Genomic DNA, 12614 nt, shown 5'->3' with positions numbered 1-12614 from the left:
AGTGAAAACAAAATAAAATGAATTTTAGGCCCATAGAAATAATGTTTTGCAACATTTGTAAGGGCATATCTTAAAAAGAAAGCATTTTATGGTTCATATTTTTCTCTTATGTCAGGACTGAGAAGAAAGTGTTCAAAAAATTTAAAGATCTGTAAACATTAGAAAGCAGTAAAGCAGTAAAATAAAAACTTTCTGGAAATCAAAGAGTATATAGCACAATGATTGAAACTTCACGTACACACATAGTTTAATCAGTATCCTAGACCTTGTTAGAGATTTTGTTTGCAATCCTTTTGATATAGTGGCTTTAATTTCCACATGAAATAAAATGGGATAGTTTATAATGTTATAAGAATCAGTTTATAGTATTAATAAAGAAGTGATATATTATTTCACTTTTGAAATTTGTGGAAGAGCTCAGAAGAAACAATTTTTTGGCAGTTCACTGGTTTATATATAAAAATAATATTTTCTATTGTTTCATTAAAATATATTTCCCTGTTGAATGATAATTAGGCTGAAATGAGAATTCCTTCATTTTAATAACATTTAAAATGTAAATTATCAAATCTATGAAAATAAAATTCTCAAAACATAATGAAGGTGGCCAAATCTTTTGGGGTTGATTTTTCTAGTCAGTGGCATTGCAGAGTTTATGCAGAATTACACTAATATTTCACCTTGTCATCTTTATTATAGCAGATTTTCTCTCCTTTGATTTCTCTTTACATTATCTATTTGGTGACCATTTACCCTTAGCAAACTAGAGAACGGAGAGAATTAATTTCATTCAATTTTCCTGCTAATTGCATGTTGGAAAATATTTCCAGAAAATAGATGAATATTGTGATACCCCTTCAAATTATCCTCAGCTATTTATTCATTTAAAAATATTTGTATGCATACACACACACAATCAATAAATACATTTGAAAAGGAACTAAAATATTCGGATCTGTTTTCAACTTACCTTCTCCCCCAACAGTGGATACCCATGAGATTAGGATTACACTGAATAAGAGCAACATGCTTGGTAGTCTCAATCGTATATAACTAAAAATACTCCAGTGATGGTGGTGTTGCTTTAAATCTGCTTTCATTAACAGTTACAAGCATGACTTTGAATTTCAATGTACTAAGGGGAAGCTAGTTTAGTAAAGCCCTTTGTGGAAAACATCAAAGTTCATGGAGGGTTGTGTGAAATAAGCAAATAGTATCTAATCAGTGTCTTCACAATAATATTCTCAGCTCGTTATGTAATATTTATTTAAGCAAAATAACTGCTGTTCAATTTCCTTGTTGTAGTCACCGAGTCTCTGAGTTTGGAACAATCAGAAATGGACTGTTTAGAGGAGAGAGGAAGCTCCCCACCGCCGGCCCCCTGGGTTTTTTTTTTTTTTCTAGCCAAGGGTTCAGCTGTTTCAAAAGGCAAGCAAGTGCAAGTCATCAGTCCTCATCTTAATACAACAATATCACTTTTGTAGTTGTAAATTCCCTTTTAAAACTGGCACTAAGAATTAGGTACCTTCTTAACAGTTTTAATATTTCATAAACTATAAAAGGTCTAATCAAGAATTATTTTTGCTGGCCGGGCGCAATGGCTCAAGCCTGTAATCCCAGCACTTTGGGAGGCCGAGGCGGGTGGATCACAAGGTCAGGAGATCGAGACCATCCTGGCTAACACGGTGAAACCCGTCTCTACTGAAAAATACAAAAAAAATTTAGCCAGGCGTGGTGGCGGGCGCCTGTAGTCCCAGCTACTCGGGAGGCTGAGGCAGGAGAATGGCGTAAAACCGGGAGGCAGAGCTTGCCGTGAGTGGAGATCGCGCCACTGCACTCCAGCCTGGGCGACAGAGCGAGACTCTGTCTCAAAAAAAAAAAAAAAAAAAAAAAGAATAATTTTTGCCAAGTAACGTTTCCTGAAATGTTTGAAGAACAGAATTATAATTCAAAATCATTTTGTTCAGGTGGGACTTCGAGAATGGCTATGTGAGGGTCTTGGTATATTCACTCCCAACCAAAAGGCAGCAATAAAACTGGATAAAAATTTAAAAGTAACCATTGGTTGTCTCTGGAAATTGGCCAAACAGCATAATGTTGGGAAATATTTTTTCCAGAAAGTCTCCATAAAATTCAGTAAAAGAGAGCGGATGCTTTCATCCACCTCTGTCTCGCAGCCCAATTCCGTGGCTCAGAAGTTGAACCCTGGATGGGCAGGCAGGCTATGTGGACTGGAAGCTCTGCTCCCCTGCTGGAGAAGAGTGACTTTATAGCTTGGAAAGGTCCATGCCCGAGGATCCTATTGAATACAAAGAGATTACAGTGGGAAACAATCAGAGAAGACTAGAGGATACTAGCTGAAGCAAGCAACAAAGTGCCCAGCCTGAGAGAAATTTAACATTTAATGGGGAAATTTACAGAAACAGCCTAATGATCTCACTAAGAGGAAACTTACTTATGGTGGTTCAGAAGTCAATGGGAATGCACATAGCTATGTCCAATCAAGAAACCAGAGAAGTCCCTGTGAGCTATTAGTAGTCTCCACTATTGATTCTAGTCTATCTAAACCTTGTCATTTCCAATTACTACACTACCTAAAGTATCTAAATATTAAGCATCACACTCTAGACCATTTCAACAATCTTTTTAGCTCACTTACTCTACTAAATTTGTTCCAAACATTCAATGACCCTGACACTTTTTCACTATTCTCTTCCCTTCATTTTCTCTCTTCCCACCACATCTAAATTAGATTCCATGGCTCATCACTGTCAGTCAGTCCCTTGCACACACTCTCCTGCCCATTCGTTCCTTTCTATCTGTAATCCAAGTCTTAGAAAACCTCAATCCTTTGCAAATAAATTCTCTACCTGCCCTGTGCCTGAATTGAAGCAGCAGAGTGTGTCTACAAGAAAAACAAAGGCAACTGTGCTGACTTGCCTTGCTTTAAATTAATGAACACGGTCCTAAATAATTTCCACACTGCTTTTCCCCTCTCCTGTTTTCATTATCTCCCTCCTTAACCACCAATCCTCACTTTGTGCTTTGCTAATGACTTCATTTATTTTTTCATCTAGATATAGAATCAATCAGAAGAAAACTACCTGCTGTTCACACGCATCCTTTTCTGCATTGTCTCTTGCTTCACTGGATGTTGATCTTTACTCCTATCTTGTTATGGTCTCTACCAGATTTGATCCCATCTTTTCTGTGCAAGGATTTTGCTCTTTCAATTATTCCTTCTCACCTGTATCATTAATTTCTCCATTTTCCAAATTATTTCCACCAATATGCAAACATACCAAACATCTTTCATCATGAAGAGCAACAACAAAAGCTCAAAAATTGTTCATAGAACCCAAATCTCTTTCTAGTAATCTAATTCACTTCTCATTTTATAATACGATGACTCCAATGTTATCTACAATCTCTACTTTAATTCATTTTTTCATTCCCAACACTACGCTTAAACCCCTCTTGTAACAGTCACCAATGCCTTCTTCAATCTAATCAAATCCATTGGTCAAAACTGAATACTCAGAAAAATTTCATGACTTTCCCCTTCCATTTGGAAATACCTGCTTCACATGGTCTATGGAACACCACATTCTCCTGGTTTCTCTTCTGTCTCAAAGGCTTCACCATCTCAGTCTTTTGTTGGCTTCTTCTAATCTCTGTGACCTTTAAACATTGGTTTGTCTGAATCCAGGGGATGTTATTTATTTGTAAGCACAGAGTTAATTTTCACAGAGCTAGTGCCGATTTTTAGTTGAATTAACACTATCTTCTCTTGTCTATTTTTTTTGAAGCCCAGTACTCAACAATTATTCTCCTTTTTATTTGCTGAATATTTCTCCTAATTCAGAAACTTAGATTGCCCTTTTTTGTTTGTTTCTTGTTCTGAGTAATTTCAGGAGATTATGCCCTCCTGCAAACATTAGCAACAAATAAAAGGAGAAGGAAACTATACTTGATAAGAAATAAAAGGGCAGTTTAGAAAATAACTTTGTCTTCAATTTTGTGGCCAATTTTATTTTGAAAGATGCTCACTCCACTGTGTCTCATCTCACTTGTTCTTCTGCCATGTGATTTTGCCATGATCCTATCAAGATTTGGAATCACATTTCCCTCATTTTGAAAATCTGTACTTTTTAGTGGCATGCTTTTGTTGATACAATACAGTGGTAGTGACTCTGCTAGATATTAGAGAGTTATGGGTTTATATTTTGGAAGACTATCTCTCTGACACTATCTTGGAAGCCTTTTGCCATTTGGCAAGAAGTTCAATCTGTATGCAGAAGCCATATGTAAATCTTCTGGTTGATAGTCCCAGTTGGCCCAGGCAATAGCCCAGGTGTCATACAGGTGAGTGACATTTGCAGATTCCAAATCTCAGTTATTTGAGTCCTAACCCATTTAAATCTTTTCACCTGAGGCTCAAATATTGTGGAACAGTTATAAGTCATCACCTCAGTGCCCTGCGTCAATTCCTAACAGTATCTTTAAGTATAATAAAATGATTGCTGTTTTATGCCAATAAGTTTCTTACACAGCATTATAAATCTAGGAAACTGGGACCTCTTTTTTTTGTGGATTCCAGGTTTAGTGCAGGGAAAGTAAATTAAGTCTGAAACTGTTTGTTGTTACAAAAAATATGAAAGGGTTAAAAGGCAAATTATAGCATTCAAATACATATGAAACTGGCTTGTAGAAGTTATTACTGATAAAATTTGAGATAGATTTAAGTATCTCAAAGAAAAATTGCTGAAATTGGTTATAACTCTTGAATATTGAAAATTCTCTTCCCCAAAAGTGCTATAAAAGTAAAACATCCCAGCCTATATAATCCAAATAATTTTTGTTTTGAAATAATCTTAGATTCATATAATAAGTCATAAAAATAGTACAGAGAATGCCCATGTACCCTTTACCCAGTTTCCTCCAATAACTATAACTTCCTGCATCTCTTATATCTATAGTACAATAATTGAGACCAGGAAATTGACATTAGTGCTCTACTACTAACTCAGCTACCAACCTTACTGAATTTCATGGTCTCTCCCATGAACTTGCGTTTGTGTTTGTGTGGTATATTAATTTTGCAACATGTATGCACTCATGTAACCATCACCACAATCAGTCATATGTAGAACTACTCAGTCGTATACAGAACTATTCTATCACCTCCAGAAAACTCCCGTGTGCTGTCCTTTTATGGTCCCCACATTCCCCCACCCCTCATTGCTAGTCATCACTAGTATGTTCTACATAACTGTAATTTAGTCATTTTGAGTGTTATATAAATTGGATTATACAGTAAGTCAACTTTTTGATTTGGATATTTTTCACACAGGGTAATGTCCTTGAAATGTAGCCAAGCTGTTGTATTATAAGTAATTCATTTCTTTTAATTGCTGTGAAGTACTCCATTGTATGGATGTAACATGTTTGTTTATTCTTTCGCTCATCTGAGGACATTTGAGTTGCTTCTACTTTTTGGCTATTACACATAAAGCTATGATGGACAATTTTGTGCAATGTTTTACTTGAACAGCAAACTTGTTCTCGAAGGGTCATATGTTTAGTATTTTAAGGTTGTGAACCATATGGCCTCTGCCACAACTACCTAACTTTGTAGTTATAGAGCCAAAATAATGATAGACAATACATAAATAAAAAGGTGTGGCTCACATCCAATACATCTTTATTAAGAAAATAGATAGCTAGTTCCTAAGATATAGTTTGCCATCTCCTGCCCTATGGTAAACAGTCAGGGGTGAGATTACTGGGTTTTATGAAAAGTGCTATTGAACTCTATAAGAAATTGTCTGTTTTCCATAGTGGCTATGACATTTTACATTTCCACAAGCAATGTATGAGAGATCCATTGTATTGCATTTTCACTTGCACTTACTATTACCAATGTGTTTCATTTAATTTTTTTAAAGCATTTTATTAGATACATAGTAAATCTCATTGTGGTTTTAATGTGTATTCCCTAATGGTTAATGACATTGAATAACTTTTCACATGTTTATTTTCCATCTGAATATCTTTTTTGTTAGATCTGTTCAAGGCTTTGGCACCTTTATTGATTGGATTGTTTTACCTGTGTTTAGAGCATTCTTTATATATTCCATGTATAAGTCCTCTGTCAGATACGTTATTTGCAAATATTTTTTGCTAATAAGTAGCTTATCTTTTCACTCTCATAGAATGTCTTTCATGGATAAAAAGTGTTTAATGTTGATAAAGTATTATTATTATTTCACTCTTTTATGGGTCATCCTTTAGGTGTCCTGTTTAAGAACAATTCCATCAAACCCCAGATCACAAAGATTTTCTCTTCCTCTACAAGTTTGATTGTTTTACATTATGCATTTAGATATAGGAACCATTTGGAGTTAGGTTTTGTAAAATATGTGAGATTAAATCAAAATTAATTTTTTGGCTAAGAAAGTGCTAGTCCCCAACACAATTTGTTGAAAAGAAACTTTTCTCAACCACATGCCACACATTCTCACTTCTAAGTATGAGCTCAATCATGAGAAAACATGAACACATAGAGGGGAACAACACACACTGGGGCCTAATGGACGGTGAAGGGTGGGAAGAGGGAAAGGAATAGGAAAAATAACTAATGGCTACCAGGCTGAATACCTGGGTGACAGAATACTCTGTAAAACTAACTCCCATGAAACAAGTTTACCTATGTAACAAACCTGCACAGGTAGCCCTGAACTAAAAAAAAAAAAAGGATCTTTTCTGTATTGAATTATTTGTGCATCTTTGTTAAAAGTTACTTGAGCATATTTGTGTGGGTCTATTTCTGGATTCTGTATCTGTTCTATTGATTTATGTCTATCCCTCCATCAATACTATATTGTTTCTAATATGGTAGCTATATTTTGAGGCCTCAAATTTGATTTTTGTGATCCTTTCAACTTTATTATTTTAAAAAAATGTTTCAGCCATTCTAACTCCTGTGCATTTTAATATAAATTTAGTATGGAATGATCTATATTTACAAAGAATTCTGTTGAAATTTTAATAAGTAATTATGTTAAGCCTATAGTACAATTTGAGAAAAATTTATTTATTTATCCTGTTGAGTATTCTAGCCCAAGAACATGGTATTGCTCTCTATTTAATTCTTCCTTGATTTTCCTAGGGAATACTTCTTTTCATATTGACAAAAATACATATTAGAAAATAGGTATCAACTATCAAGGCTTTTGTCCATTTTAGAAATAATACAAATATTTCTATGAATAGAAATATTATATTTATTTGTTTTTTCTCCCAAGAGAAATTTGTGGATATGCAGAAATAAAACAAGGACAATTATATGACCTTTTCTGGATTCTGTATCTGTTCTATTGATTTATGTCTATCCCTCCATCAATACTATACTGTTTTTAATATGGTAGCTATATTTTGAGGCCTCAAATTTGATTTGTGTGATCCTTTCAACTTTATTATTTTAAAAAAATGTTTCAGCCATTCTAACTCCTGTGCATTTTAATATAAATTTAGTATGAAATGATCTATATTTACAAAGAATTCTCTTGAAATTTTAATAAGTAATTATGTTAAGCCTATAGTACAATTTGAGAAAAATTTATTTATTTATCCTGTTGAGTATTCTAGCCCAAGAACATGGTATTGCTCTCTACTTAATTCTTCCTTGATTTTCCTAGGAAATACTTATTTTCATATTGACAAAAATACATATTAGAAAATAGGTATCAAGTATCAAGGCTTTTGTCCATTTTAGAAATAATTCAAATATTTCTATGAATAGAAATATTATATTTGGGGAATAGATAGTCCCCAAAGCTTTACGTCTTTCCTTCTCACTTGATTTTCATAAAATGCTCCCAAATAATATAAGGGCTACATCTGTCATCTCTTCAGGCTCTTTTAGACCTTGCCCCTGTCAAGACACAGATCCCTTTTGAGGCATCCCTCTCTACTCACCGAATGATTTATGCAGATAATGATCAGGGCATTTACTTACTAAGACACTTCACTGTTGATACCCATTCTTTCTCTGTGCATGTTACGTGAGTCTATAGGGGATTTGAAGGAGATACAAAGCTATATTCACAGGAGTAATAGAACAGTTTTTTTTTCTTGTGAACTGGTAAAGTTGGTTTATATTTATCTTGGTCATATAATTGTCCTTGTTTTATTTCTGCATATCTACAAATTTCTCTTGGGAGAAAAAAACAAATAAATATCCTGAATTAAAGAATATACAGCTTATATTTCAATGATGTCATTGATGCATTTTATTCATTTAACTCATTACCACTTGTCGTTAGTGATTAAGAAACAGAGAACTATATGTAACCCAGAATGCAAAAGTATTTAATAACATCATTGTTAAAGAAGACACTATAACATTTTTGGAGTCAAATCAAGTGTAAACTCTTTTGAAGTGTCTCCAAGAAGATAACAATACAGAACAACACAAAAATCAAGGTAGAGGATCTGAGTAGCTTTATACTGCAGTCCTCTCATGCCTAAGATTTACGTAGGTTGGGATAAGAGTACAGATTTTAAATCTCTATTCAATTCCGTTCTCCTTTCTTTTCTTTGCCTGTCATGAAATCTTTTAGCAGAAAGCCGAGCCGTGTCTGCCCCTGCTAGTTCAGCTAAGATACTGCCTGGGTAAGTTTTTTATACTATCATTTTTCTGACTGTAAACATAATGTACTTTCAGTGAAGAAAATTTAGAATGAACAAAGAATCATAAAACAAGGAAGCAAAAGCTCACCCCAAATAAAAAATCCGAGATATAATTACAACTGGATTATGATGAATAGAAAATAGGTATGTACATGTGTATACATTTGTATATATTGTGATGGCAAAATATGAAAATAATTTAGAATTGGCATTGTCTCTAGAAAAATAGATCTGTGTGGATATAACACATCATATAAGCAACATATAAATAAATATTAATATATAAATAAAAATGTAATATATGGTAAAGAACTATAAATAATTTGTATGTCAACACATAGTTTATGTACATTACTCCACAATTAATGTTTATCACAGTTTTAAGATATCATTTGATAGGATGAAAATTTTTTTCAACAAGTTTCCTAATAAAAAGACCAAATCTGAAATATTTACTTAAGTAAAGAGAAAAACCAATCTTCAAAGACCTGAAGCTAAATCCTATTAAACTTTTAATTAGGCCAGTTGCAGTGGCTCACACCTGTAATCTCAATACTTTGGGAGGCCGAAGTGGGCAGAATACTTGAGGCCAGGAGTCTGAGACCAGCTTGGTTAACATGGCGAGTCCCTGTCTCTACTAAAAATATAAAAAAATTAGCCGGGACTGGTAGCGCACTCCTGTAATCCCATCTACTTAGGATGCTGAGGCACGAGAATCTCTTGGACCCGGGAGGTGGAGGCTGCAGTGAACCAAGACCGTGCCGCTGCACTCCAGCCTGGGCAACAGAATGAGGCCCTGTCTAAAAGAAAAAACCTTCAGAAACTTTTAATTAATTAATTTATGCACATATTAAGTACAAACATTAAATTATTTCTAAAATTCTATATAATGTTACTAACTACAACACATTTTATTTTCATCTTTTTTGTTTGTTTTGTGTTCTCTGTTTTTGGTGCCCATTGTGTTTCATCAGTTAATAAGGTTTTTTTTGTTTTGTTTTTTGTTTTTTGTTTTTTTTGAGGCAGAGTCTTGTTCTGTTGCCCAAGCTGAAGTGCAGTAGTGGTGTGATTTTGGCTCACTGCAGCCTCTGCCTCCAAGGTTCAAGTGATTCTCCTGCCTCAGCCTCCTGAGTAGCTGGGACTACAGGCACGCACCACCATGCCCAGCTAATTTTTGTATTTTTAGTAGAGACACGGCTTCACCATGTTGGCCAGGATGGTCTTGATCTCCTGACCTCATGATCTGCCTGCCTCAGCCTCCCCAAGTGCTGGGTTTGACTTGAGCCACCGCAGTACAGACTTGTACTTGTACTTGAGCCACCTCAAGTACAGACTTGAGCCATCGCAGGTGATAAGTTTTAATGGATAATTATTTGACTTTTAATCTCCTAACTGAGCAAAGAAATGAGAACAGGTTGTGATGTCCTACTCCCACTATTTTCCTCCAGGGATCACGTAAGATGATCATGCAAGAGTTTACTTAATACATAGCCTTCTCCCTTGCTGAGAGCTCCAGGGTTCTCCAGCTGTACTCCATAAAGTCCCTGCCATACATCCCATCTTTACTTACAGAACATATTCTTCCTACCGACACTCAGGACCAAACCATTTTAGAAATATGTCTTATAGCAGAACTGTGCAAGTTAACTAAAAATGCTCTCAGATGTTTTATATCACGTTTTGTGCCCTGAAACTAATTTACAAATGGTTGCTAATGGAAAACACCTTCATTACCTTCTTCAGCCTTTTTTCAACTCAATCAGGATAACTTTTTGTTTCCAAAACAGTCCAGCTTTACGCTTTCTCCTTTCTTTGTCTCTCAATCACTTTCAATAGTTTTCTATTTTCTTGAATATTTGTGGATAGTTTTAAAAATCATTTAAGAACTGTATAGAAGATTTTACATTTCATATTATATTTGAAATCATTAATATTATTTTGATTATTTTAATGTATGCTTACTTATAACTTCTATAATATAATTTATTATCTTTTTGGATAGTGAAACTTCTCTCAGTTTTTCTTGTTGTAATGGAGTTGCAGGAAAATTAATTGTACATGATATTTTAAAAATTTATTACATAAATTTTAAGTAGTAAAAAGGAAATGACAAAATATTAGTGCATTTTTAGGGTTCTGGCTAAACCTCAGCATTTTGTTTATAAATCCATACGTATCTGTTTATGCTGACTCAAACTATGTATATGTAAACTGATTTTACCATAACTGTATAGGCTTAAATATTTAATCTTACTAATTTTATAATTAAACATTCTACTGTTCTTTTCAAAATTACTTAAATTAATTTGAACACTTTCCATTTACTTGTTGACTATTGTGCTTTAACTGTGTGAATTATTTATGCTTGTACTTTTCTACTGGAACATCATTGCTTTTCTCAATAATTGAATCAGTTTTTAACGTTATAATTTTTCTATCATACATGATTTGCATGAAATTTTCAGATAATTTTTTCTTGAATTTGATGTTTATTTGGGCTACAAAGCCCATTTTTGTATTCTCAAATATTTTAGTATTTCACCTTTGTGAAGTAACAAACCTGATACTTTAAGTATTTCTTATGTGTTGATAAATGTGAAATTCATTTCATATGGCTATTGTACTAGATATTACAAAAATTAAACACAGTAGAAACTGATGTCTGAAATAGCTCTTCTACCTGAACATTATATATTGTTAACTCCCGACTGTAATCCAGGATCCACACTCATGAAACCATGGTCCGTCTGTCTATGCATCTCACTTGCTTAAAATCCATCAGTGGCTCGCTGATCACTCTCTGAGTAAAGTTCAGTCTCCTTGTCAGGTCTATAAAATCTTTTCTGATTCCTCCCTACCTCACATCACCCATCACAATGAATTTTCTGAGTTCTAGTCATGCTGATTTTTTGAAGCTTCGCAGTTATGCTTTTTCTTTTTCTTGTTGGTCTTTCACATTCTGTTTCTCCTAAGTGTTGATTTTGTCCATGTCTACCTACCAAAGTTATATTCAAGTTTGAATCTCACATGAAATGTCATTTCCTTTCAGATCTATTTCCTGGCCTCCAAGAAAGTGTTTATTTCTTCTCTACATTAGTATAGTGTCTTCCATCCTTTACTATTAATGTGCTTATTATATTGCTATAATTTTTATATGTCTACCCTGTGGGGTTTTGTATCTGCTGTATCTATAAGCTCCTTCATCTCACTGCTGCTTACCTGTGTGATCAATGTGCTGGAGAAAAGATTTTTGTTACACAGACTGATACAAAATGAAGAAGCAGGTTTCTACTAATCATGCTTTATTTTTCCTTTGAGTAATATTAATGATAATAACAGCTTCATTGATTTACTGCATACTTACTATATGGTTATAGATATTGTTGAATACCCACTACACTGAAAACTATTTACATACATTTATGAATTAAAATCTGATTTCAAAGATGTTATCTCCATTTTGCAGATGAAACTCAGAGATAGGGACATGCTTCCTATACCTATACATTATTTAATCAGTGAAGCAGTATTTAATGAAAGACATAGACATTTATTGAGATAGTTTTCACGTAGAAGTATTTTATTTGCTTTTATATATATTAAGTTGTTTAGTCTTACCAGGTGGTAAGAATGTTGGTGTTGGATTGCTGAAGAAATTCACAGGACTCAAGCAGCTTATACTCAAAAAAGGGCTGTATCACAGGCAAAGGGCACAGCAACAGTAGGAGAGGGTTGTTTGTTGAGGGATCCATCCATGGAACTCACACACAGACTTCTTTGTCCTACCACCACTGGGTCATACAGGATGCATTTTATCTCCAGATACAAACCACATCAGCATGTGTGTGTGTGAAACCTGAATTTCCTTTGTTTCACTGAAGCATATGCTGTACATCACTCCAGTAACGATGTTGCTCAAG

General features: G+C 34.2%; 1 protein-coding gene across 2 annotated transcripts in view; it reads right to left on the bottom strand.

Moving 5' to 3' along the window:
• CFHR5 (complement factor H related 5) overlaps positions 1–3659 on the bottom strand; it is a 34645-nt gene extending 30986 nt beyond the window's left edge. The window contains exon 1 of one of the 2 annotated variants that reach the window (XM_011510020.3): positions 3579–3659. In XM_011510020.3, coding sequence (XP_011508322.1) covers positions 3579–3645 — 67 coding nt within the window. In that variant the 5' untranslated portion in view covers positions 3646–3659. Of the gene's footprint in view, positions 1–970; positions 1138–3578 lie in introns of those variants that run through there. The other variant, NM_030787.4, reaches the window with a different exon arrangement.

Source organism: Homo sapiens, chromosome 1 (genome assembly GCF_000001405.40).
Source record: "Homo sapiens chromosome 1, GRCh38.p14 Primary Assembly".
Taxonomy (NCBI): Eukaryota; Metazoa; Chordata; class Mammalia; order Primates; family Hominidae; genus Homo; species Homo sapiens.
This window is presented reverse-complemented; position numbering and strand designations above follow the sequence as displayed.